Source organism: Homo sapiens, chromosome 9 (genome assembly GCF_000001405.40).
Source record: "Homo sapiens chromosome 9, GRCh38.p14 Primary Assembly".
Lineage (NCBI taxonomy): Eukaryota > Metazoa > Chordata > Mammalia > Primates > Hominidae > Homo > Homo sapiens.
The window spans coordinates 62519532-62547231 of record NC_000009.12 but is presented as its reverse complement, the minus strand read 5'-3'; the positions used below and the strand labels follow the sequence as shown (position 1 = coordinate 62547231).

The 27700-nt window shown below is 40.6% G+C and overlaps 2 long non-coding RNA genes across 2 annotated transcripts in view; both read right to left on the bottom strand.

Moving 5' to 3' along the window:
- Positions 1-4419: 4419 nt before the first annotated feature.
- On the bottom strand, positions 4420-14670 carry FAM88F (family with sequence similarity 88 member F). The gene is made up of 2 exons (NR_147619.1): positions 14544-14670; positions 4420-4851 (listed from the first exon to the last, which is right to left on the bottom strand). It is a non-coding gene; the product is annotated as a family with sequence similarity 88 member F (long non-coding RNA).
- Positions 14671-25213: 10543 nt separating this feature from the next.
- Positions 25214-27700, bottom strand: part of LINC01189 (long intergenic non-protein coding RNA 1189) — a 69529-nt gene continuing 67042 nt past the window's right edge. The window contains exon 5 of the long non-coding RNA NR_046203.2: positions 25214-25553. This is a non-coding gene — a long non-coding RNA (long intergenic non-protein coding RNA 1189). The remainder of the gene's footprint in view (positions 25554-27700) is intronic.

Genomic DNA, 27700 nt, shown 5'->3' with positions numbered 1-27700 from the left:
GCATGTGGGAATCCCAGAGAGGAAACAGTATGTGCAAATGCTGGAGATCTGATGGCACCTGTGGCAATACGGAAGATTCCATGTGTGTAAAGGGCAACAAAATAGAGCAGTATTAGATAAAATAAATATTCTTGAGTGCATACTGATATAAATAAATGATTAAATAAGTTAATGAATGAGGGAAAGGAGATAAATTCACATGCAGGATTTCAAATGAATTATGTTATATATTCCATCCCAAAGGAGGGCGAGAATAACTCCCCACTCCTTAAGTGTGGGCTGCACACAGTGACTTATTCTCCAAAGAGGACGGTATGGAAGAGGGGGAAAAGAGAAACTGCAGTGGAGAATCCTGATGAGCACTACCTCTGCCAGGTCTTTAGTGATGTCAGTCATCCCCTTTTTATATTCATAATTTTCTCTTTTTTCCCAATCAATCCAGCTGGAGATTTGTCGTTTTCATTGATTTTTCCCAAAGAACACGTTTTTGGATTCATTGATTTTTTTTCCTTTTTTTTTATTTCACTGATTCCCATTTTGATCTTTATTATTCCTTTTCTGCTGGTTACTTTAGATTTAATTTGCTCTTCCTCATATATATTTTGAGACAGAGTCTTGCTCTGTTGCCCAGGCTGGAGTGCAGTGGCACAATCTCGGCTCACTGCAACCGCCACCTCCTGGGTTCAAGTGACTCTCCTGCCTCAGCCTCCCAAGTAGCTGGGATTACAGGTGCCAGCCACCATACCCAACTAATTTTTGTATTTTTAGTAGAGACGGAGTTTCACCATGTTCGGTAGGCTGGTCTCGAACTCCCAACCTCAGGTGCCTGTCCACCTCGATCTTCCCCAAGTGTTAGGATTACAGGCATGAGCCACTGCGCCTGGGCGATATTCTTAAATTAGAAACTGAGATTGCTGATATGAGACCCTTCTTCTTTTCTAATATAGTAATATCATAAATTTCCCTTCAGGTACTTCTTCAGTGACAACCGACAAATTCTATGTTGTTTTTCTATTTCCAGTAACTTCAAATAACTTTCTAATATTCCTTTAGATTTCTTCTTTGACCTATGAGTTATTTAGAAGTGAGTTAATTTCCAATTTTTAAAGGATCTTTCTGTTACTGGTTTTTAATTTTATTCCATTGTGACCTGAGAACATATTTTGTAGTTGAATACTTTTTAATTTATTGAGGTTTTTAATGGGCTATAATGTGGTCTATCTCCATAAATATTCCGTGCACAGTTGACAAAATGTGTATTTTGCTTTTATAGGGTGGAGTATTCTATAAATATAAATCAGGTCAGGTTAGTTGATGGTGTTGTTCAAGTCTAATACATTCTTGCTGATTTATTGCCTATTTATTCTATGAAGTGTTGAGAGTGGGATTAAAATCTCTGATGGTTATCTCTATCTCTACGTATTGTTTTATTACTTTTCTTCATAAGTTTTGAAGCTTTGTTGTTAGGTACAAAAACACATAGGTTTGTTATGTCTTCTTCGTTAACTAACCACATTATCAGTAAGAAATAATCTCTTTATTCCCTGGTAATAGTCTTTGCTCTGAAGTCTATTTTGGCATTCGTATAGCCACCTCAGCTTTCTTTTGACTAGTCTTGGCATGGTATATCTTTTTCCATCCTTTTACATCTAACCTATTTGCATCTTTATATTTAAACTACATTTCTTGGCCAGGTGTTGTAGCTCACACCTGTAATCCCAGCACTTTGGGAGGCCAAGGCAGGTGGATCACCTGATTTCAGGAGTTTGAGACCAGCCTGGCCAAGATGGTGAAACTCTGTCTCTACTAAAAATGCAAAAATTATCTGGGTGTGGTGGCAGGGGCCTGTATTCCTAGCTATTTGGGAGGCTGAGGCAGGAGAATCGCTTGAACCTGGGAGGCAGAGGTTGCAGTGAGATCACGCTGTTCCACTCCATTGCACTCCAGCCTGGGCAACAAGAACAAAACTCCATCTCCAAAAATAAGTAAATAAATAAAGTACATTTCTTGCAAGCCAAATACAACCAACTTTAAAAAAAATCCAATCTGACAACCTGTCTTCTAAATCAATTTAAATGTAATGTAATTCCTAATATGGTTGAGTCTCTTATCTTGCTATTGTTTTCTACTCATCCCATCTGTCCTTTATTCTCTTTTACGTCTTTTTCTGTCTTCTTTTGGATTTACCCAATATATTTTTATGATTCCATTTGATCTCCTTTGTTAGTTTAATAGCTATAATCTTTTGGTTTGTTATCTTAGTCGTGGCTCCAGGGTTTACAGTGTACATCTTTAACGGATCACGGCCGACCTTCAGGTGACAGTAGATCACATCAGGTACAGTTTAAGAATCTGAGAATAGTAAACTTCTCCCCTTTTAGTCTTTAAGCTCTTATTGTCATCCATTTTACTTTTACATATATTATAAACTGCATATTACTTTATTTTCTAAACAATTATCTTTTAGAGAAGTTTAAATAATATAAAGTATATATCCATGTTGTTACTATTTCTGGTATAGATACACGATGTTACTATTTCTGGTGTAGACCATTTCTTTGTGTGGATCCAGATTTCCATCTGGTATTGTTACGGGATCCTTGGGGTATCACTTCATCAGCCAAAAGCCTCTATGGCCAGTGGCGCCTTTGCCCGAGTTTTGCTCTGGATCTCTGGTCTTGTTCCACCCACTCAGCCTGGCAGGCTGTGCTCAGTTCCCACTATGAGCCTGGATCGCATGTCTGCCAAGGGTGAGCCAGGCACAGAGCAGCAAGGGGTGTGTGAGCAAGCATGGGGTCCAGCCACTGCACACAGCCAGGCATGCCGGCTGAGGGGGGATAGGCGATGGACAGGCAGCTTCAGGCACTGGCACGGGTGCCAGCTCCATGCAAGGCTGCAGCTAGACCAGGCATACCATAAGCAGCTTCCACGGCTGACACCAGGAAATGTGGTGGTGCCCAGAACCTTGGAGATGCCAGGAACCCACAGAGCCCTAAAGAGGGTGTCACAGCCCTGGCTCAGAGTTCCTAGGTCTGGGCTCCATGAAGAGCCACAGCTCTTCTCTTCTCTCTTCTCATTGCTTGCAATGTGACAAACAAGGGTCATGTTTCAGCACTGTTTGTGTTATAGCTATTTTAGCTCCGCCATTCAGCAGGTCTCCAGGTCTTGTCCTGCGACCAGGAAGAATGATATATGCAGACAAGTGGAAGGTGAACAAGATGAAGAGGAGCTTTACTGAGAGATAAGACAGCTCAGAGGAGACCCGCAGTGGGTAACTCCTCTCCATAGCCAGGGTGTCCTGTTGAGTACTGAGCTCTCAGCAGAGAGGGCAGCTCCTCTCTGCAGGCAGGTCATCTTGTTGTCTCTTCAGCTCTCAGCAGAGAGGGTAGCTCCTCCCTGAAGACTGGTGGCCCACCCCCCAGGCTTCATCCCCACCCCAGCTTGCAGGTGGGGCTTCATTGGGAACCTGCTCCCTTCCACCCAAGAGCCTGTTTGCCTCCTGGCATTGTTCATGGCACCCACGTTATCCATGCCAAGGAGTACCTGCAGGCCAGTGCCAAGCTGTCCTCAGCCCCACTTCAGCCTCCTCCCCATGCTTGTCAGCCTCCACAGTCCAAAGAGGGCCAAGGGGCTGGCATGTCAGCACTACTCCAAGCATGCACACATGCAGCTGGGATGCGAAAGTGCTGAGAGAGAGACAGTGCCCCAGGTTGTGAACTGTGACGGGAGCAGATGCTAACAGTGAGGAGAACACAGACAGTGGGAGCAGGCACTTCCTAGCCTGCAGGGACAGGGGTGCATTCCTGGGCCCCCAAGAGTACAGAGATTCCTGGGTCCACAGCTGCAGCTTGGGTGGCTGCAGCTGCACTTGGGAGGGCAGGGCTCCTGCCTACTCTTGGCTCCCAAGAGCACAGGAGTGCCCTGGTAGCAGCCACAGCTTGGGTGGCTGCAGCTGCACCTGGGAAGCTCCCACTCTACCAACTTTCTGGCTCCATAAAGCATGCAGCCCTGGCCATACCACTGGTCTGCATTTTCCCCTTAGTGGCAGCAGGCAAGGTGCGGGTGGCTGGTGGCCTCAGCCAACCCCGTGCAAACAAACCCAATGCTCCTGGGGCCACCCCAAGAGTCCTGGCTGCACTATCAGCTCACAGACTCCTGAGACGCAGCAGACAGCGAGGTTGAAGTCACGGCGGAGGTTCCGGGCCTGCAGTGGGTCCTGCCCAGTTGTGCAAGGGTTGGGGTGGTGCAGTCAGCTGCCTCAGGGATGTAGGGCACAGGGGACCCACCATGACCACTGCTGCTCCCACAGCCACTCCTGCCACCACCACTTGTGCCTCCACACTGCAGCTGGCGTGATAACAGTGGCTGCTCCAGATGGCACACTGCTGCCATTAGTATCGTTTTCCTTATGCCTGAAGGACATCCCTTAACTTTTCTTATAGTGCAGTTCTGCAGGTAGTAAAGTCATTCAGCTTTTTCGAGTCTGAAAACTTCTTTATTTCTTCATCTATTATTCTCTTTTTGATGACCGTTAGTTAAACCAATCCATTGAACTTTCCATTTCAATTATGATACTTTTCATTTCGTTTCCACTTGGTACTTTCCCCAATGTATTTGGTTATTTTCATGCTCAAGTTATTTCAACTCCTTTGTTTCTTTAAGTATAAAACACACTTTGTACTGTCTTTGCTGACTTGACTGTCTTAAGTTTTTGCAGGCCTGCTCCTTCTGTCCATTGTTTCTGGTGGCTCTTGCCAATTTTACATTTGTGATTTTTTATTGTGAACTTATATTCCTTGAAAGTATCTCAGAGTTCCTCCACAGACAATCCATTTTGCATCTGTCAGTCACCTAGAAGGCACCAAAAAGCTGATATTGCGGTAAATTTGAAGCTTGAGACATTTTAGACCACCCAGGTTGTGTGAACAAACCAGTTAAAGGGCTATATACATACATATATATATATATATATATATATATATATATATATATATATATATATATATACACACACACATAAAACTCTCAGGGGAGATGTTTTCTCTCAGGATACCCAATGTTCCTCACTGTTCCTAGGGAAGCAGGGGTCAAGGGCAGCATACAGGGGGAGGCGGACAGGTTTATTCATAGTTCACCCTTACACTAAGTCTGTCCTTTTGGATCTCACTTTATGATGTCTCCTTTTAGCCCCTCCCACTTGGCCAGGCCCTCAGCTTTGTCTGCTGTTCTGCTGCCCCTTTTCCACCTCAGGCTGTGAAAAACAGCAAAGTTTAGTTTGACAGGCAAATATCTTAAGGGTGAAAAGTGGCATCAGTGCCTTAGTTACTTCTTTGGGTTTCACTTCCATTTTAAAACTTTTTTAGCTTTTTGGAACTCTTATTTTGTAGCTCATTGACACATTTTTAAGAGGTTCTTGATATGTATTCCAGAAGCTTTAGCTGTTTTCAGCTGGTCCTTATCAGCCCTACTGTTGGAAATAAAATTCTTTCAACTTGTTCTTTAGCAATGTACAGGCTCCATAGAGCTCTCGCTGCTCCTGAGGCAATAGGGTAAGAACGCCACTTAGGAATCAGGCTGGCCTGAGATCAAGTCTCAGATCCACCAGCAGTGTGACATCAGTGCCTCGCTTTCTTTATAGGGTTGGTGATATGGTTTGGCTCTGAGTCCCCAGCCAAATGTCATGTCGAATTGTAATTTCCAGTGTTGGAGGAGGACCCTGGTGGGAAGTTATTGAATCATAGGGGTGGACCTCCCCCTTGCTGTTCTTGTGATAGGGCTCTCATGAGATCTGGTTGTTTAATACTGTATAGTAACTTCCCCTGCGCTCCTGCTGTCCATATGAAGATATGCTTCCTTCCCTTTCACCTTCCGCCATGACTGTAAGTTTCCCTAGGCCTCCTCAGCCATGCTTCCTGTACAGCTTGTGGAACCATGAGCCAATTAAACCTTTTTTTCTTTATAAATTACCCAGTCTCAAGTAGTTCTTTATAGCAATGTGAGAACAAACTAATACAGAAAATTGGTACCAGAGAAGTAGGGCATTGCTACAAAGATACCTGAAACTGTGGAAGCGAGTTTGGACTTAGGTAATAGGCAGAGGTTGGAACAGTTTGGAAGGCTTATAAGAATACACGAAGATGATGGCTGGGCATGGTAGCTCATGCCTGCAATCCCAGCACTTTGGAAGGGTGAAGCAGGTGGATCATTTGAGGTCAGGAGTTCAAAGCCAGCCAGGCCAACATGGTGAAACTCTGTCTCTACTAAAAATACAAAAAAAAGTTAGGCGGGCATCATGGCACATGCCTGTAATCCCAGCTACTCAGGAAGCTGAGGTAGGAGGATCATTTGAACCCAGGAGGCAGAGGTTGCAGTGAGCCAAGATTGTGCCACTGCATTCCAGCCTGGATAACAGAGTGAGACTTCATCTGAAAAAAACAAAAATGAAAACAAAACAAAAAAACAGAAGACAGGAAGAAAAGTTTGGAACTTCCTAGAGACTTGCTGAATGGTTGTGACCGAAATGCTCATATAGTGATATGGACAGTGAAATCCAGGCTGAGGTGGTCCCAGATGGAGGTGAGGAACTTATTGGGAACTGGAGTTTGCAGTCACTCTTGCTATGATTTAGCAAGGAGATTGGTGGCATTGTGCTCCTACTCTAGGGATCTGTGGAACTTCGAACTTGAGATGATTTAGGGCATCTGGCAGAAGAAATTTCTAAATTTCTAAACAGCAAAGCATTCAAGATGTAACTTGGCTGCTTCTAACAGCATATGCTCATATGCATTCACAAAGAGATGATCTGAAATTGGAACTTATATTTAAAAGGGAAGCAGAGCATAAAAGATGGGAAAATTTGCAGCCTGACCATGTGGTAGAAAAGAAAAACCAAATTTCTGGTAAGACATTCAACTCAGCTGCAGGAATTTGCATAAGTAAAGAGGAGCAGAATGTGAATAGCCAAGACAATGGGGAAAATGCCTCCAGGACATTTCAGAGATCTTCACAGTAGCCCTTCCCATCACAGGCCTGAAAGATTAGGAGGGAAAAATGGTTTTGTGGCCTAGGCCCAGGACCCCACTGTTGTGTACAGCCTCGGGACATGTCACCCGGAATCCCAGCTGCTCCAGCTCCAGCTGTGGCTAAAAGGGCCCCAGATACATCTCAGGCCACTGCATCAGAGGGTGCAGCCATAAGAAGCCTTTGTGGCTTCCATGTGGTTTTAAGCTTACAGGTGCAAGGAAGGCAAGAGTTGAGGCTTGGGAGTTTCCACCTAGATTGTAAAGGTTGTATGATAATGCCTGGATGTCCAGGAGGAAGTCTGCTATAGCGTCAGAGCCCTCATGGAGAGCCTTTACTAAAGCAGTCTGGAGGTGAAATGTGGGTTTGGAGGCCCCACTCAATGTCCCCACTGGGGCACTGCCTAGTGGAGCTGTGAGAAGAGGGCCACTGTCCTGCAGGCCAGAGAATGGTAGATCCACTGAAAGCTTTCACTGTGTGCCTGGAAAAGCCACAGGCACTCAATGCCAGCCCATGGAAGCAGTCACTGGGGCAGTACCCTGCAGAGCCATGGGGCAGAGCTGCCCAAGGCCTTGGGACCCCACCCCTTGCATCAGTGTGGCCTGGATGCACACCATGAGCAGTAATGGGAAAATTCTTATTGAAAAAGGCAAGAACAAATCAACCCAGTGAGATGAATTACATGTTGCACTCCTTCCTGGGATGGAAGAATTGAACAATGATAGGATCTTCTACATTTCGGTTTTTACTTTACTGACTCATGGGCAGTGGCCAATGGCCTGGCCATGTAACCAGGAAGAGGGGCAATGGCAAACTGGGCTGTGAAAGGATCCCCACATGGAGCACAGCACTGCAGGAATTTAAAGGGCACATTAAAGTAGGTCATGTCAATGCCCACCTGAAGAACCCCTCCCAGGATCAGTGATCAGATCTGGTAGGTGGATATCCTGGTGACCTTGAGGTGGCCACCTGGGCTTAATGAAGGAGTGGACACAGGGGAGCTGCAGCCGTGCAGGGATGGGCTGCTCAGCAACAAGTCCCTCCTCCACCCTCAGAGGCACCAAATGCCAACAAGAACTGTCCTATCTGACAGCAGGAAGACAGAGACCGCAGGTGGCTATGGGGCAGGTTCCCAGTGGGAAGGCACCACTCATAGCTAACAAGTAGATTATACCAGACTGAAGCCAGTATCCCTGGGAGGCTATAATGGGTCCTGACACATTCTCTGGACTGGGCTTTGCATAGTCATTAGATTCAAATGCCAAAAATACCATAAAAGAACTGGAACAGATGATAAGACATCAACTTGGACCACCAAGTTTTATTTCTTCAGGCCAAAGAACACATTTATAGCCCACAGTGTCCTATAATGGACATACCATGTTGCATATTGTCTTCATCTCCTAGGGCTGCCATAACAAAGTGCCACAAACCATGTGGCTGACTTACAGAACAAAATGCACTGTCTCACAGTTCTGGAGACTAGAAGTCTGAGATCAAGTTCTTGGCAGGGCTGGTTCCTTCTGAGGGCTGTGAGAAAGAATCTAATCCACACTTCTCTCCTAGCTTCTGGTGGTTTGCTGGCAATCTTTGGCATTCCTGGGCTTGTAGAATTCTGCCTTCATCTTCATATGGCATATCCCCTGTGTTATCTCTGTGCACAAATTTCCCTTTTTTATAAAGACACAAATCATACTGGATTAGGGGGCCCACCCTATTACACCATGACCTCATCTTAACTAATTACATTAACAACAATCTCATTTCCAAATAAGGTCATGTTCTTAGGTACTGGGGGTTCTGAGTTCAGCATACGAATTTTTTATTTAGGGTAACATATATCCCTTTTTTCAGTTTTTATTGTGTTAAAACACACATAAAATTTACCATCTTAACCATTTTAAGTGTACAATTCAGTGGTATTAAATACATTGATAATGTTGTACAATTATGCCCACAACCCATCTGCAAAACTCTCTTCATCTTGTAAAACTGAAATGATATTTATTAAAACCTAACCCCTACCCCCTCCTCCCAGCCCCTGGCAACCACCATTCTAACTTCTGTCTATGAAGTTGATATTCTAGGCCCCTCATTTAAATGGAATCATGCAGTATTTGTTTTTGTGACTGGCTTATTTCACCTAGCATAATGTACTCAAGGTGCATCCATGTTATAGCATATGTCAGAATTTTCTTCCTTTTGGAAGCTGAATAATATTCCACTGTATGTATGTATATGTCAGATTTTGTTTTTCCATTCATCCCTCAATGAATGCTTAGATTATTTCCACTTTTGGCTATTGTGTCTAATGCTGCTATGAACACGGGTGTACAGATATTTCTTTGAGACCCTGCTTTCAATTATTTTGGTATTCCACCCAGAAGTGGAAATGCTGGATCATAGGGTAATTCTGTTTCTAATTTCTTGAGGAATCACCATACTGTTTTCCATACCAGATGTATGGTTTTATATTCCCACCAACAGGAATATAAGCATTCCAAACATGAATTTTGTGGGAACATATTTCAAACCATAGCAGTCACCAAAAGCTCAAGCAACAAAACAAAAAATAGATCAGTTCAATTTCATTAAAAAGTTCTGTGTTTCAAAGTCGACATGGTTTGGCTGTGTCCCCACCTAAATCTCATCTTGAGTTGTAACTCCCAGAATTCTCATGTGTTGTCGGAGAAACCCAGTGGAAGGTGACTGAATAATGGGGGCAGGCCTTTCTTGTGCTATTCTCATGATAGTGAATGAGTCTCAGGAGATCTGATGGTTTTAAAAATGAGAGTTTCCCTGCACAAGCTCTCTCTTTGCCTGCTGCCATCCATGTAAGACGTGACTTGCTCCTCCTTGCCTTTCATCTTTCACCATGATTGTGTGGTCTCCCCAGCCACCTGGAACTGTGAGTCCAATAAAACTCCTTCTTTTGTAAATTGTCCAGTCTCAGGTATGTGTTTATCAGCAGCATGAAAACAGACTAATACAATGGTTACATAAGAAAATAAGGACAACCACAGAATGGGACAAAAACTTATAAGTCCTATATCTGATAAGGAACACATGTTCCAGATGATATAACCACTCTTACAACTCAATAAAAAGAAAACTCAATTTAAAAATGGGCAAAAGATGAATAGACATTTCTTCAAAAAGATGAAAAATGGCCAATAAGCATGTGAGAAGGTGCTCAATAACATTCATTATTAGGGAAATGCAAATCAAAACACAATGATACACCACTTCACCCCAACGAGATAACTAAATTCAAAAGACAAACAATAAGAAGTCTCAGCAAAAACAGGAAACTGGATAAGAACCTTCATTCAACGCTGAGGGAATGTAAAATCTTGTCTGTTTTGGAAAACATTTTGGTAGTTTCTCAAAAATTAAAACAGAGTTATCATATGATCCAGTAATTACACTCCAAGATATATACTTAAAAGAAATGAAACCACACAAAAACGTATACCTGAATGTTCACAGCAGCATTATTCATCAAAGCCAAAGTGGAAACAAGACCACTCAAGCCAGCCCTGCCTCGGAACCTGACAAAGTTAAATGGAAGCCTACAGAGCTGAGCTGCATTTCCATGGGAGACATTTTGGTCATTCCAGGTGATGATGAACTACACCAATTGTTAGTGGCTGAGAAGAACCTCAGGAATGTGCCAGCATCTTTTGACTTTTATTTCAGGGGGCTGCATCTACTACCACAACATGCAATATGGGTAACACTGGCATGGCTGGTTAGATTTGAGTACCTCATGTAAATAAGTCATGTGGTAATAGTGATATTGATGATCAAATGTATTGGGAGATTGAGTTAAGGTCTCCTCAGGATGTAATACCAACGGAAAATGAATCTTTAGAAGAACTATATTTAGTTAACCATCACCTAATTTCCAGATAAATAGTTCTGCACAGGTCATATAAGATACAAAGAGCAGTATACCAAGGGGGAGGATGATCTTGGGGACTCCTGAAATATACTGTAAATAACCCAGATATCCTCCAGTAAATAAATGGATATACAAAGTGTGGTATACATACATATGTACATACAGTGGAACATTATTCAGCCGTAAACAGGAATGAAGTACTGATACAGCCTACACAATGAATGAACCTCAATAAACCGTAGAATCCTGCTAAGTGAAAGAAGCCAGTCAGAAAAGACCAGATATTGGATGACACATTTATATAAAATGTCCAGAATAGGCAAATCTAGAGACAGAAAGCAGATTCATGGTTGTCAGGGGTTGAGGGAAGGAGGAAATGAGAAGTGATTAAGTGAATTAATGCATGTTAACACCTTAAACTTTGGGCAACTGCCCAATCACACAGACAGTGCAGTCTCATTCATGCATTACATGACAAAACAAAGAGAAAAGCCTGGGTAGAAATACCAACATGTATATTATGAAAAATATAACACCTAAATAAACAGAGAAACTATGTTCCTTAATGAGCAAATTCAATATTATAAGGTTGCCAATTCTCCTCCCATAGTTTCTCAAAAGTTGCAATGTAATGCAATTTTAATCCAAATGGCATGGTTATCTAGACAAGAAAAAAATTGATTGTAAAATTTATATGAAATAATAAAGGTGTGAGAACTGCAAGGAAAATTTTCAAATGGAAAATTATTACAGGAGAAAGGAGTGTGGAGACCTTGCTCTGTATGGTAGAAGTCAAAGACAGCTACCATCAATTCTTTCCCTTCCTCAACACACATTGCTTCTCAAGAGGTGAGGAATAGCTCCCTTCCCCTAGAATGTGGCTGCCTTGCAACTTGCTCAATCCATAGAATATGACATAAATTCCATTCTGGGAATTCTACTATTGGATTTTTTTTTTTTTTTGAGATGGAGTCTCCCTCTATTGCCAGTCTTGAGTGCAGTGGTGCAATCTCAGCTCACTGCAACCCCCGCCTCCCAGGTTCTAGAAATTCTCCTGTCTCAGCCTCCCAAGTAGTTGGGACTACCGTCACACACCACCATGCCCAGCTAATTTTTGTATTTTTTTTTTTTATTGGAGACGGGTTTCACTATGTTGGCCAGGATGGTCTCGATCTCATGACCTTGTGATCTGCCTGCCTTGGCCTCCCAAAGTGCTGGGATTACATGCGTGAGCCATCGCACCTGGCCCGATTTTTTTTTTTTTTTTTAAAGAAACTGAAGCCTCTACTTCGGTCTCTTGGTAGCCTTGCTCCTGGGAAGCTCTTTCTTGAATCTAGTCACCATTCCATTCCACCAGGCCACATATGTCTTCTCCAGGCAACAGCCAACATCAATTGTCAGCCGTGTAAGTGAGTTTCAGATGACTGTGGCCCCGGCTAATGTTTGACTGTAGCACATGTGAGAGGCCCCATGCAGAAACCCCTAGAACCATGGAGAGCAGTCATCCTGCAGAACCATGAGTAAGTTAAGCTTAGGGGTGGTTAATTATGCAGAAATAAGTAAACAGAGCACTCCACCAGGTATTAAAGATTATTACAAAGATTATGTAATTAAAACAATACAGAACAGACCAGGGTTGACTACAAGATCAATGGGACAGAATAAAGTTACATATCCAATGCCTGCTGCTGACCACAGGGATTTGTCACAGATCTCATCAGTTAGAAACCCTACAGTGGTTTCCCTGGTCACCTTCCAGTCACCACTACACCTTGGCTCCTTTTAGCACGCCTCCCTAGGTTATCACTATATGAAATTGCTTTACCTCTTTGTATTGTCTGTCACCTGCCACCATAATGTGAATTTCTAGACCTCCATAGCATGCAAAGCTCTAGAACAGTTCTTAGAACACAGAAGGTGCTTGACAAATATTTTCTGAAAGAAAAAGAAGATACTTCAATACCTCAGTTTACTAATGAGGTGGGGCTACCATATGGCTGCCTGAACAAATACAGCTTGACATTCACTTTCTTGCTAGTGATTGAAGTGTATTAACTTGTGTACTCACACAACTACCCTACGGGGTAGGTGCCCTTATTTCTCCATTTGGCAGAGAGGGGCTAAGTATCTTAACCAAGGTCACACGGCTTTCAAGTGCCAGAGCCAGGACTCAGATCTACATAGGTCTGGCTCCAGAGCCCCCAGTCTAACCTCTTAACCTCTCTGCTTTACTGGGCTAAACCTTCACCACCTATCATATGGAAAAAGAAATTCAATAGAAAGTTATATGGAAAAAATACAACCCTGTGTTAATATTAGAAAATCCATAGTAACATGTACAATGAGGAAGCTTCCTCAAGCCCAACTATACAGGTCAGATCGGTTGAAAAAATAAAACTAACACATTTTTACATGTCAAAATATGCAATATTTGAAAATCCAAGGCTAGTATCTTTAAATAGGCAAAGATTTATTAATACTCCTTGACACACAAACAGGAAGTGAGAAAATGGGCAAGTGACACAAATCGATAATTAACTGTGAGGACATAGGTGGTGGAGTCTCTCCTAATCCTCTATTCTTGGAGATCTGGATGCCTGCCATTCGCGTATGGGAAGAACAGAGACGGTCATGGAAAACAGCATTTAATCTAGAAAGGACCATAATGAGGTCAAAGGGCGGTCTCAGGGCAGTCTTAAGAGCTCCCCATCCCCAAAGAACTGGCAAGGACTCTCCAGGTGCTCGTATGCGACTGCTGCCCAACTCCCATCACGAACTCAGAAGACCTGTCATTTTCTGAAATTTTCATGACTTCTAAGACACTAGTTACTGGGGGAAAACTTCAAATTATTTAAATTATGAGAGGCGAATAACATTGCTAAACTCATGAATACTCTGTATTTAAAACCTCTACTGGCGATCAGGGCACATAGAATCTCTACTACTGATCCCTGACGCTGGCCATCCCCCAACCCGTCGGCCCACGGACCCCAGCCCTGACCCCACCTCCTCCCAGCATCTTACACAAGGATTCTCACCACACTCCCCAGAGACTCGCCTGCCCAGGGCCCCTCTCTAACCCCATATAGCTCAGGTCTCTGACCCCGAGACAGCATCACCGACCTCTCCCACTACCTATTTCCAGATTAGAGTCCCTGATCCCAGAGGCATTGTCTAAAATAACTAGCTCTTACAACTACGTCCACTTCAGGAACCGCCCTGTGATGTCAGAACTTTGAGGCCGCCCGGCCAGGGCTGCACATGCTCAGTGAGGCCGGCGCCCGCCAGTAACAAACATGGCTCCCTGAAGCCGCTCAGGCTCAAGAGCAACATGGGGGTCTGCACTTAATCGCTCCTCTCCGGGGGCGGCCATACTGAGGAGGCATCTCTTCCGTGCAGGCAGGCTGTCCTGGGGACCTCAGAGATTCTCTCCAGCGGCAGCGGAAAATGGGCAATGGGTGGATTCGGGTCCAGATTCTGGCAGGAGGGAGTTTGGGATCGAGATCTGGAAAAAAGCACTAGACTGGAAGAGGACGCGATGGAGTCGGAGCCGCTGGCGGGGACAAAACCAGAGGCGGTGGAAGGCGCCGGTGGGAGGCAAGGCACGGATGGACTTTACCTGCGCACGCGTCGCAGCCATCTCCGCGCACAGTGGTGGCCACCGCGACTGGTGCTGAAGTGTCGGCGCGTGCCGGGCGCTCCGCTGGGACCGGGGTTGCTGGCCCTGAGTCTGAGCTTTCTCATCTGTACGATTGGGACAAGTACAGTAACCCTCGCCCGTCAAGACGGGCCAGGGCTGTCGCGAGGGTCCACGCCTTAGAGCAGGCACCTATCTTCTGCAGGGCCCTGAGATGGGGTCTGACTCAGTTCCTGCGGGGAACTTCACCAGTACCCAGTCAGTGCCCTTCAGTTAAAGACCACCAGGAGCACACTTGTAATTACATTGCAGCAAGGAATGGGGTACTATGGGTCATCTCAGTGGGAGGAGTTAGAGAGAAACTATTATACGATTTGGGCTTTAATTGGTTGATTTCGGACAGGATCTCAGAAAGTGAAGACTTTAGATTGGATGCTGTCAGAAAGCAGGAGCAATATGATTATTAAGTATTTTGTGGGTGGCATCAAGACCTTGTTTTTTATCTGCACTTAGACAACATTATAAAGTGCCCTTGTTTTTGTTTGCACTTATCACGGTCTCAGATTAACCTTCTGAAGTTGATATTCTGTGAGATTGTTTATGTCCAACAGGAAAACAAAATGTCCTGGCCATGAGCATCAGACTAGCGTGTAATAACATTAAGGCCTGTGACCCAAATATTGACAGAATTGAAGTTAGAAATAGTTCTACAGTAATAGAGTCTTCAATACTCCATTTAAAATAATGCATAGAAGCTGGACATGGTGGCTCATGCCTTTAATCTCAGCTACCTGGGAGGCTGCGGCAGGTGGATTGCTTGAGGTCAGGCGTTCGAGACCAGCCTGGGCCTTTTGGCCTGTCTCGGCTTTTAACATACCTTCCTCACTCAGCTTAATCATTTCTCACTTTAGATTTATAATAAGAGATGTGTGACTCTTACTTTCACTTGAACACAGAGGCCTTTATAGAGTTATTAATTGGCCTAATTTCAATATTGCTGTGTCTCAGAAAACAGACCTGAGGAGAGGGGGAGATGGAGGAAGGGCAGATCGATGGAACCATTCGAATACACATAGGTATCAATTAAGCTCATTGTCTTTTGGACCATGGCTTGTGATGCCCCAAAACAATGACAATAGTAATATCAATGATCACTGATAACAGATCACCATAACAGATATAATAATAACAAAACATTTGAAATACTACAAGAATTACAAAGATGTAACACAGAGGTGCAAAATAAGCACATGCTACCAGAAAAGTGGCACTGGTAGACTTGCTTGGTGCACGGTTGCTACAAACCTTCAACCTGTAAAAACTGCAATATCTGAGAAGCATAATAAAGTGAAGTGCAATAAAACAAGGTAAGCTTGTATATGTATGCATGCACACACCAATACACATCCATCTATCCACACACAAATCTTTGTACTAACAAAGCCTGTATTTTCAATTCCAGCAATACATCATTTGTACCTTAAAAATATCTGTCATCCTTGTAGTGTTCTTTTCTGTCTTTGTTATCAGGGTAATGCTGGCCTCATAAAAAATGTTTGGAAGTGTTCCCTCCTCTTCAACTTTTGGAAGTGTTTGTGAAGAAATGGTATTAATTCTTCTTCAAACATTTGGTAGAATTCTCCACTAAGCTATCTTGTCTTGGATTTTCCTTTTTCAGGAGCTTTTTGACTACTGACTCAATATTTTTACTCATTATTTATCTGTTTTTATTTTATATTTCTTCATGTTTCAGTCTTAGTGGATGTATGTTTCTAGAAATTTCTCTATTCTAAGTTAAACAATTTGTTGACACATAGTTGTTTAGACTATTATTATCCTTTGTATTTCTATGGTACCAATTTTAATATCTCCTTTTTTGTTCTAATTTTATTTACTTGAGATTTCTTTTTTCTTAGCCTAGTGATAGGTTGGTCAATTTTTATTATCTTTTCAAAAAATCAGCTCTTCATTTCATTGATCTTTTCTATTGTTTTTCTAGTCTATTTCATTTATTTCTGCTATGATCTTTGTTATTTCCTTCTTCTAATTTTGGGCTTGATTTTTTTTTCTATTTTTTGAGGTTTATTTGAGATCTTTTTTCTTTATTTAGCACTTATCTGTATAAACTTCCCTCTCTTAGAATGGCTTTTGCTTCATCTCATAAGTTTTAGTATGTCGTGCTTTCATTTTAGTTTGTCTCAAGTTATTTTATTTCTTTTTTGATGTTTTCTTTGATCTACTGGTTATTGAGGAGTGTGTTGGTTGATTTCCACATATTTGTCACTTTTCTAAGTTTTCTCCTGTTTTTAATTTTCAGTTTCATGCCACTGTAGTCAAAAAGAATACTTGGTGAGATCTCAATATTCTTAAATTTGCTAAGACTTGTTTTCTGGCCTAATATATGACCTATGTTGGAGAATGTACTGTGTATGCTCGAGAAGAATGTGTATTTTGCTGTTTTGGAAAGGAATGTCATGTATATGTCTGGTCCATTTGATCTATAGTGTAGTTCACGTCAGCTGTTTCTTTAATGATTATCTGTCTGAATGATTAATCCATTGTTGAAAGTGGGATATGGAAGTCCCCTACTGTTATTGTATTATTGTTGTCCACTTCTCTCTTCAGATTTGTTAATATTTGCTTTATATAATTAGGTGCTCCAATGTTGGGAGAATATATATTTGCAGTAGTTATATCCTCTTGATGAATTGACCCTTGTATCATTCTATAATGACTTTCTTTGTCTCTTGTTACAGTTTTTGACTTAAAATCTATTTTGTTTGTTGTAAGAATAGCTACTCTTTGTCTTTTTTTGTTCCCTCTCTTTCAGTCTATGTGTGTCTCTAAAGGTGAAGTGAGTCTCTTATAGGTGGCATATATTTGGTTCTTGTTATACTATCCATTCAGCCACTCTGTGTCTTTTGTTTCACTGATTTGGTCCACTGATATTTAAAGTAACTATTGATAGGCATTTTGTAGTTTTTTTGTTCTTTTATTTCTCTCTTGCTGTGCATGATTTGATTACTTTCATTATTTTCTGTAGTGGTATACTTTGATTCTTTGCTGTGCCTTTGTATTAATTCTTTTTTAAACATGTGGTAAAATTCTCATTTGTGTATCTGTTACATGTTTGTCTTTGTGATTATCATGAGGCTTACATAAAACATTGTATGCTATCGTGTGCCACACAAGGATGTTTTGGTCAATGATGGGCCACATATACAACGGTGGTCCCATAAGGTTATAACATTTTTATTGTACCTTTCATATGTTTAGATACATTAGATATACAAATGCTTATGATTGTATTACAGTTGCCTATAGCATTCAGTATAGTACAGTGCTGTACAGATTTGTAGCCTGGAAACAATAGGTTATACCATATAGCCTGGGTGTGTGTTAGCTAGTATTATCTAATTTTGTGTAAGTATACTCTATGATATTCACACCATGACAAAATTGCATTATTCAGAACATATCTGCATTAAGAAATGCATGATTGTAGTTATAATGGTCTATTTTAAGTTGATAACAACTTAACTTCAATCATATAAAAAAACCCTACACTTTACTCCCCTCCACTTATGTTTTTTGATGTCAGAGTTTCTTTCTTTGTATATTTTGTAATTATATTTATTTGTAGTATTTTTTGTCTTTTAACCTTTTAAAAGTTAAAGTGATTATACTGCATCATTACAGTATTAAGAGTATTTTGAATTTGACTGTATAGTTACCAGTGACTTTTTATAACTACATATGGTTTCATGATACTAATTAGTCTTATTGCATTTCAGTTTGAGGAACTCCCTTTAGGGTTTCTTATAAAGCAGATCTAGTGACAGTGGACTCCCCTAGATTACTCTGGGGGGTTTCTGAAAAAGTCTGTAAGTCTTAGCCAGAGCAATTAGGTAAGAAAAAGAAATAAAAGGCATCCAAATTGGAAAAGAAGTGAAAGTGTGTCTATTTCAAGATGACATGATCTTATACAGAGAAAATTCTAAAGGCTCCAAAAAGAAAACTTGTTAAAATTAAGAAACAAATTCAGCAAATTTACAGAACACATAATTGACATTAAAAAAAAAAAAAAACAACCTGTTGCATTTCTATATACTAACAGTGAACTATCCCAGAAAGAATTTAAGAAAACAATCTCGGGCTGTGCGCGGTGGCTCACGCCTGTAATCCCAGCAATTTGGGAAGCTGAGGCAGGTGGATCATGAGGTTAGGAGATCGAGACCATCCTGGCTAACACAGTGAAACCCCATCTCTACTAAAAATACAAAAAATTAGCCGGGCATGGTGGCAGCCACCTGTACTTGGGAGGCTGAGGCAGGAGAATGGTGTGAACCTGGGAGGCAGAGCTTGCAGTGAGCTGAGATCACGCCACTGCACTCCAGCCTAGGTGACAGAGCGAGAGTCCATCTGAAAGAACACAATCTCATTTACAATAGCATCAAAAAATTAACTTAGGAATAAATTTAAATCAGAAAGTAAAATTTCTATATACCAAAAACTATAAAACACTGATGAAAGAATTTGAAGATAAAAGAATCTCTATTACTCAGTGTGATCTACAGATATAATGCAACCCCTATCAAAATTTCAGTGGCATTTTTCAAAGAAATGGAAAAAAGCAATTCTAAAATCTGTGTGCAACAGACCCCAAACAGTCAAAACATCATTGAGCAGAAAAAACAAAAGTGGAAGCATCACATTACCTTATTCCAAACTAAATTATAAAGCTATAGTAATTAAAATAGTATGGTACTGGCATAAAAACAGACATGTAGGCCAAGGGAAAAGAATAGAGAGCACAGAAACAAATCCATGCCTTTACAATCAATTGATCTTCAGCATTGGTGCCAAGAAAACACAATGATAAAAGTTTAGTCTCTTTAATAAATGGTGTTGGGAAAACTGGATATCCACATGCAGAAGAATGAAACTGAACCCTTATCTGACCCTACATACAAAAATTGACTCAAAATTGATAAAAGACCTCAACCTAGGAGCAATATTGTAAAACTCTTAGACATAAATATAGGAGAAAAGCTCCTTGACACTGGTATTGGTAATAAATTTTCAGATTTGACACCAAAAGTATAGACAACAAAAGCAAAACTAGACAAATGGGACTAAACCAAAAGATTCAGCACAGCAAAGGAGACAATCAATACAATGAAAAGACAACCTAAAGAATGGGAGAAAATATTTACATGCTATATATCTGATAAGAAGTTAATATCCAAATAAATTAGGAACTCAGATGATTCCAAAGGACCTTGTATTAGTCTGTTTTCATGCTGCTGATAAAGACATACCTGAGACTGGGTTATTTATAAAGGAAAAAGAGGTTTAATGGACTCACAGTTCAATATAGGTGGGGAGGCCTCATGATCACAGTTGGAAGGTGAAAGGCAGGTCTTACATGACAGCCAGCAAGGCAGGATGAAAGCCAAGCAAAAGGGGAAACCCCTTATAAAGCAATCAGATCTTGTGAGATTTATTTACTACCACGAGAAAAGTATGGGAGAAACTGCCCCCATGATTCAATTGTCTTCTGCCAGGTCCCTCCCACAACATGTGGGAATTATGGGAACTACAATTCAAGATGAGATTTGGGTAGGGACACAGCCAAATCATATCATTCTGCCCTGGCTCCTCCCAAATCCCATGTCTTCACATTTGAAAGCAAATTACGCCTTCCCAACAGTCCCCCAACATCTTAACTCATTTCAGCATTAACTCAAAAGTCCACTCTCCAAAGTCTTATCTGAGACAAGGCAAGTCCCTTCCAGCTATGAGCCCATAAAGTCAAAAGCAAGTCAGTTACTTTCCAGATACAATGGAGGTACAGGGAGGGGGTAAATATACCTGTTCCAAATGGTTGAAATTGGCCAAAACAAAGAGGCTACAGGCCCCAAATCCAAAACTCAGCAGTCCAGTCAAATCTTAAAGTGCCAAAATGCACTCCCTTGACTCCATGTCTCACATCCAGGTCACACTTATGCAAGAGGTGGGCTCCCACGGCCTTGGGCAGCTCCACCCCTGTGGCTTTGCAGGACATATCCCCCCTCCTGGTTGCTTTCATGAGCTGGCATTGTCTGTGGCCTTCCCGTGTGCATGGTCAAGCTGTTGGTGTATCTACCATTCTGGTGTCCAGAGGACGGTGGCCTACTTCTCACAGCTCCAGTAGGCAGTACCCGAGTGGGGACTCTGTGGGGGCTTCAACCCTACATTTCCCTTCTGCACTGTCCTAGCAGAGGTTTTCCATGAGGGCCCCCCGCACCCCACAGCAAAATGCTGCCTGGACATCTAGGTGTTTCCATACATCCTCTGAAATCTAGGCAGAGGTTCCCAAACCTCAGTTCTTGACTTCTGTGCACCCACAGACTCAACACCATGTGAAACTGCCAAGGTTTGGGGCTTGCGCCCTCTGTAGCCACAGTCCACGCTGTACCTTGGCCCCTTTTAGCCATGGCTAAAGTGGCTGGGATGCAGGGCATCAAGTCTCAAAGTGGCACACAGCAGGGGGCCTCTGAATCCAGCCCAGGAAACCATTTTTTCCTTTTAGGCCTCCTGGCCTGTGATGGGAGGGACTGCCACAAAGGTCTCTGACATGTCCTGGAGATATTTTCCCCATTGTCTTGGGGATGAACATTTGGGTCCTTGTTGCTTATGCAAATTTCTGCAGCTGGCTTGAATTTCTCCTCAGAAAATTGGTTTTTCTTGTCTATCACATCGTTTGGCTGCAAATTTTCCAAAGTTTTATGCTGTTTCCTTTTAAAGCTGAATGCTTTTAACAGCACCCAAGTCACCTCTTGAATGCTTTGCTGCTTAGAAATTTATTCTGCCAGCTACCCTAAATCATCTCCTTCACGTTCAAATTTCCACAAATCTCTAGGGCAGGGGCAAAATGCTGCCAGTCTCCTTGCTAAAACATAGCAAGATTTACCTTTACTCCAGTTCCCAACAAGTTCCTCATCTCCGTCTCAGACAACCTCAGCCTGAATTTCATTGTCCATATCATTATTAGCATTTTGGTCAAAGCTACTCAACAAGTCTCTAGGGAGTTCCAAATTTTCTCATGTTTTTCTGTCTTTCTGTGAGCCCTCCAAACTGTTCCAACCTCTGCCTCTTACCCAGTTCCGAAGTTGGTTCCACATTTTTGGATAACTTTACAGCAGCACGCCACTCTACCAGTACCAATTTACTGTATTCATCTGTTTTCATGCTGCTCATAAAGGCATACCAAAGACAGTGTGATTTATAAAGAAAAAGAGGTTTAATGGACTCACAGTTCCATGAGGCTGGGGAGGCCTTACTTATGGTGGGAGGCTAAAGGCACATATTACACAGCAGCAGGCAAGACAGAATGAAAGCCAAGTGAAAAAGGAAATCGCTTATAAAACAATCGGAACTTGTGAGGCTTATTTACTACCACAAAAACAGTATGGGGAAAACTGCTCCCATGATTCAACTGTCTCCTACTGGGTCCCTCCGATAACACATGGGAATTATGGGAGCTACAATTCAACATGAGATTTGGGTGGGGACACAGCCAAAGCATATCAGACCTGAAGAGATACATTTCTAAAAGACATACGATTGACAATAGGTATATACTAATAAAAGGATGTTTGCCATCACTAATCATCAGGAAAATGTACAATGAGATATCACTTCACATCTATTAGGATGGCTATTGTAACAGTAAAAAGGTAACAAATGTTGCTGCGGATATTGAGAAAAAGAAACCCTTGTGCTTAGTTGATAGTTGATGGGAACGTAAATTGGTACAGCCATTAGTGACAACAGTATGGAGTTTCCTCAAAAAATTAAAAATGGAACTCCCATATAATCCAGCAATCCCCATCTGGGTATATATCCAAAGTAAAGAAAATCACTATCTCAAAGAGATATGTATACTTACATGTTCATTGCAGTGTTATGTACACAGCCAAGATATGGAAACTACCTGTGTCCATTGACAGATGGATGTTTTAAATGTATTACACACACACACACACACACACACACATATGTAATGGAATATCATTCAGCCTTTAAAAATGAGGAAATACTGCCATTTGTAACAAGATGGACAAACCTGGAGTTTATTATGGTAAGTAAAATAAGCCAGGAACACACACAGAAATATCCTGCATGATTTCACTTATATGCATACTTAAAAAATGTCAAACTCATGGTAAGAGAGTAAAATAGTGCTTACCAGGGCCTGGGAGTTGGGGGAAAAGAAAAAATGTTTGTCACAAGGTACAAACTTTCAGTTATAAGATGAATAAGTTCTGGAGATCTAACGTACAGCATAGTGACTAAAGTCAATAATAATGTATACTTGAAATTTGCTGAAAGAGTAGATCTCAAATATTCTCCACCACACAAACACAAATAAAAAGGTAACCAGGTGAGGTGATGAATATGTTAGCTTGATTGTGGTAATCATCACTTCACAATGTATATGTATATCAAAATATCACACTGCACACCTTAACTATATACAATTTTTCTTTGTTAATCAATAAAACTGGCAAAAATATCTGTTATATGTTGCCTTGACTCCATTTCTTCTTATTTTGTCAAAATAGATAGTCCTCATTGTTTGCATGTTTAGAAACTTGTGCTACATCTAGAAGCCAGGAGCGGGGTAGGGTGAACTAAGTTACTGATTCTTTAGGAACCTTAGGGTGTAAGGTGGGACTGGAGTTCAAGGCCTAGGAGCTGAGTCTGGTCTTGATCAGCCTCTTTTTTTGTTTTGTTTTGTTCTGTTTTGAGACGGGGTCTCACTTTGTTGCCCAGGCTGGAGTGCAGAGGCACGATCTGGGCTCACTGCAACCTCTGCCTCCCAGGCTCAAGCAATCCTCTCACCTCAGCCTCCCAAGTAATGGGAACCACAGCCATGTGCCACTATGCCTAGCTAATTTTGTTGTATTTTTGGCAGAGATGGGGTTTCGCCTTGCTGCCCAGGCTGGTCCTGAACTCCTGAGCTCAGGTGATCCACCCACCTCGGCCTCCCATAGTGCTGGGATTACAGGTACGAGCCACCACGCCTTGCCATGAGCAGCCTCTTCTGATATCCGTGGTGTGTTCTGTACACTTTTTTTTTGTCTGAATGCACCTTTCCTTTCTCCTCCCTTGCACTCCAGAACCGTGGATACTCAAGTCTATCCGGAACCATATAGAGGGGGAGCTTTGAGTGCTATATGAAATTCATTTATGATATCATTCTTCATTCCTTCACAGAAGTAACTCAGAGTTCAATTAGGGATTCACATGGTAAATTTGTCTTAATGCTCCAAGTGGGCTTAAAGGAACTTCCTTCTTGTCGGCCATCATGTTTGTATACAACTGTAATGGGAATTTGAGTTTGTATGACTAGTGTCATGAGCACTCATGTTTGTGAGCACACCTCTGCATCTGCTATTTCTTCTATTGGCCTACAGACTTTTCCTTCTTTAGGATATTATCAACTTGAATTCAAATTTTTATCAAAAATTGGACCTAGCTCTTTTTATTCATATTTTCCTGCTACATTTTTTCCACTAATTTATTTTCGATAGGTTATATTGTGTTTTTTGACACTTAAAAATTTTACCTGACAATCTTAACCTTTGATTTATGTAATTATTGTTCCATTATGACTTCTTTCTGTCATCTCATTTATGATTTTTCATACTTTACTGTGTCTTTTTTCCTATTTGTACCTCTCACTCTATAGATCAAAAATTTTTCATTTGTTTGAAATCTGGAAATTTTTAACATTGTAATGGTGGTTATGTCATTACTTTTGTTAATTTTCTCAATTTCCTCCATGTGTCAAAATTAATATCATCTCAGCAAACCAAATAAGTACTCTAGCCTCCTCTTGCCACCTCTGGTTTGCTTTCTCTGTTACGACAGCACTTTGTCTAAGGTGGTACTTTCTGAAGTTTACTCGGAGTTGTTTTCAATATGTTATGTTTTCATGTATGTTTTAGGGTATGATAAACACCACTACCATTGATTCTGGAACCCTCAATTCTAACACCACGGTGTATTTCTCTTCTTAGTGGAGTATGTCCTCTAGGCATTTTCAAAGGGATTTATTTGAAATAAAACTTTTGAGGCCTTACTTTATAATGTCTTTTTCTGTGCTTTCATATTTAAAAGATTTTGGCTGCAAATAATTCAAGGATTAAAAATTGTTTCCTTTTAATCCTTGAAAAATATTACTTCATTTTATTCTTGTCTCCAGCATTGCTGTTGGAAAGGCTGATGCCAATCAAAACCAATTTTTCCCTAAAGGATGATCTGTCTTCTCATCATTTTGACAGGATGTAACAAAACAAAGGAGTCTTCAATGTTGTGAGTATAAATCATTTTGCAATTATAAACTTAACTTAAATATTAATGCAATACAAAAAGAATTAAAACCTTCTTGAGACATGCAAGTGCACAGGAAAATTAACTATCATGCACTCATTCAGGAAGAAAAGGTGCAAAAGAAATTTAATGAAAGAGACGGTCGTTAGATGCAAGTGTGGTTGAATGTAGGGATGCGATGCTGACAAGTGGCAGCAGGCCTGGCAAGCTGTCTCTCCCAATTCAACTACTTCAGAAAGAGAAGAATATTAACTAGGCTATCTTGGTGATGTGTTGAAAAAAGGTGCTATGTTTCCTTTTTAATCATTCAAAACAAAGGTAGTAAAATTCCTGGGAAATAAGAAATAATGCATCATAAATGTATAAAAATAGAAGAAAATACTATATTTTTATGAATTTAAAATGCCAGCTATTGTAGATTGTTATCTCTTTTCAGAAGTGCTTTAAAATTGATGGCACATAGTAAAAAAATGGCATAAATTCCAACAATTAATGGAAAAACATTAATCCATCTTCTTGAATCTTGGAACCAGGATTCTTTTGGGAGGCTTCGGTGTATCTGTGTATCATTTCATTGCCTTCACACAAATCAAATCATGCCACCTGCGACTGTGGTTTGAAAAAAAAAGAAAACATAATAATGATGCTGTCAATTCACCTGAGATTCCATGATCAAAATTAACCTATGAACAAAGCACAGACTTTATTATAATTACAAAATAGGATGTAATTTACATAAAATGTGAAAATATAAGTATAGAACCATATTTGATACAAGTCGAAAGCTATGACAGGGACTGTTGGAGGGGAGGGAAGTTGTACACTAATCTCCACATCCTACTGAGCCAATCAGTGTTGTTCAAATTGGATGGACTGTATATTTAAACAATATATTATTTAAGCAAAGAATTAAGCACTGTAAGTATATTATTTAGAGGAAGCAAATTTTTAAAAATCCCTTAAAATTATATATTAAAGACTAAATTGGAAATATAGTTTTAGAAGAAGAAAGTGGGGTAAATGGGCTAGGTGCAGTGGCTCACGCCTGTAATCCCAGCACTTTGGGAGGCCAAGGCGGGCGGATCACGAGGTCAGGAGACCAAGACCATCCTGGCTAACGCGGTGAAACCCTGTCTCTACTAAAAATACAAAAAATTAGCCGGGCGTGGTGGCTGGTGCCTGTAGTCCCAGCTATTCAGGAGGCTGACGGAGGAGAATGGCGTGAACCCGGGAGGCGGAGCTTGCAGTGAGCCGAGATAGCGCCACTGCACTCCAGCCTGGGTGAGGGAGTGAGACTCCGTCTCAAAAAAAAAAAAAAAAAAGAAAAAAGAAAAAAGAAAAGAAAGTAGGGTAAATGAGCTATATTCTCTATCGTTCATAAAAAGTCAAGGGATATTACTTAAAACTGATAAAACAAATTAGGTGATTATATAATATTATTTACAGTTCAAGAGAATAGCATATAGTAAAAAAAAGAGTATGATAAAACCTGCCTAACTCTGAAAAACAGGACCAAGGTCTGTGGAAGGAAAAAAAAAGTTTCTGGTTTCCACTGATTTTTTTGCCATCAAACTGTTTGAATGATTTTCCATGCACATGTGTTGCTTTAATTTAAAAATGTTCTTACTCACAGATCCCCTTGAATTACGTGTAAAATTAGGTTTCCTTTAGTCAATGGTGTATGAAAAGTAATCAACTCATCTAACTGAAGTTAGACATTAATAAATTATAATTTGGGGGATAACATAAATATACCTATTAAAAACAACCAGAACATAACAGTTGGCTCTATGTTCTGCTTATCTAGGAATTTTTAAAATTATAAAAAAAAAAAGGAGTTTCACATTTTTAAAGAAACATTAGGAATAAAAATGTAAGTGTTTCTCTTGGATAAAGCTCTTAAAATCACTAGTAGAATAAAGTCAATCTAGATTAAAATTTATATTTTCAAATTTATAATATGACCAATATTGCCATCAAAATGTTCAGGCACAGAACATTTTAAAGTAGCTATTTTATTGTTTCTCAACATCCTCTTTCCTTCTATGATTGGCATCACAAATCATGATTGGGACATCTTATCAAAGAACTATACTTGTAGTTTTTGAGTGAAAAGCAAGGGAGAAATTTTATTTGTGCCTTGACCTTATTGATAATGTGTAACTTGTGATGGCCACTATCAATAGAACTATCAACAGATTCGAAGGGCACTGTTTGTTCCTTTAATATGGAGAAATATCGCAAATAACTGGGAAATAATTTAATGACTGAAGCCTTCATTTTTAATCATATAGCTGAGTGATATTTTAAGTTTGATGAGAATAAACATTTGAACAAAAATAGCCAATTCCCTGTTTCATAATTTAATACATTTGTGTTAAAAGGTTTAGATGATAAAGTTAATTTTGAAATGCATTATAAATAACTAAGTAGCAATCATTAAGTTCATTTTTAAATAACTGTTTAGATAACTTAGTAATTAGCAATCATTAAGTTCATTTTTAACTAACTGTTTAGTCCACAAAAGATAAAAAATATATTTTAGAAGGAGAGGGCATTCCAAAATCTGTCTCAGGGACATTTAATGTCAAATATCTTTCAATGAAGCAGAAATGTAAATACATGTTTAGATAATTTAGGTTAAAAAAGGTAAATTTTGGTTGCCTGCTTAACTTTTATGAAACAGATATTTTCATTCAAGTCCAGCATATATTTTGCTATGACTTCCACATCCTTTCCTCAGAGAATATTTACCT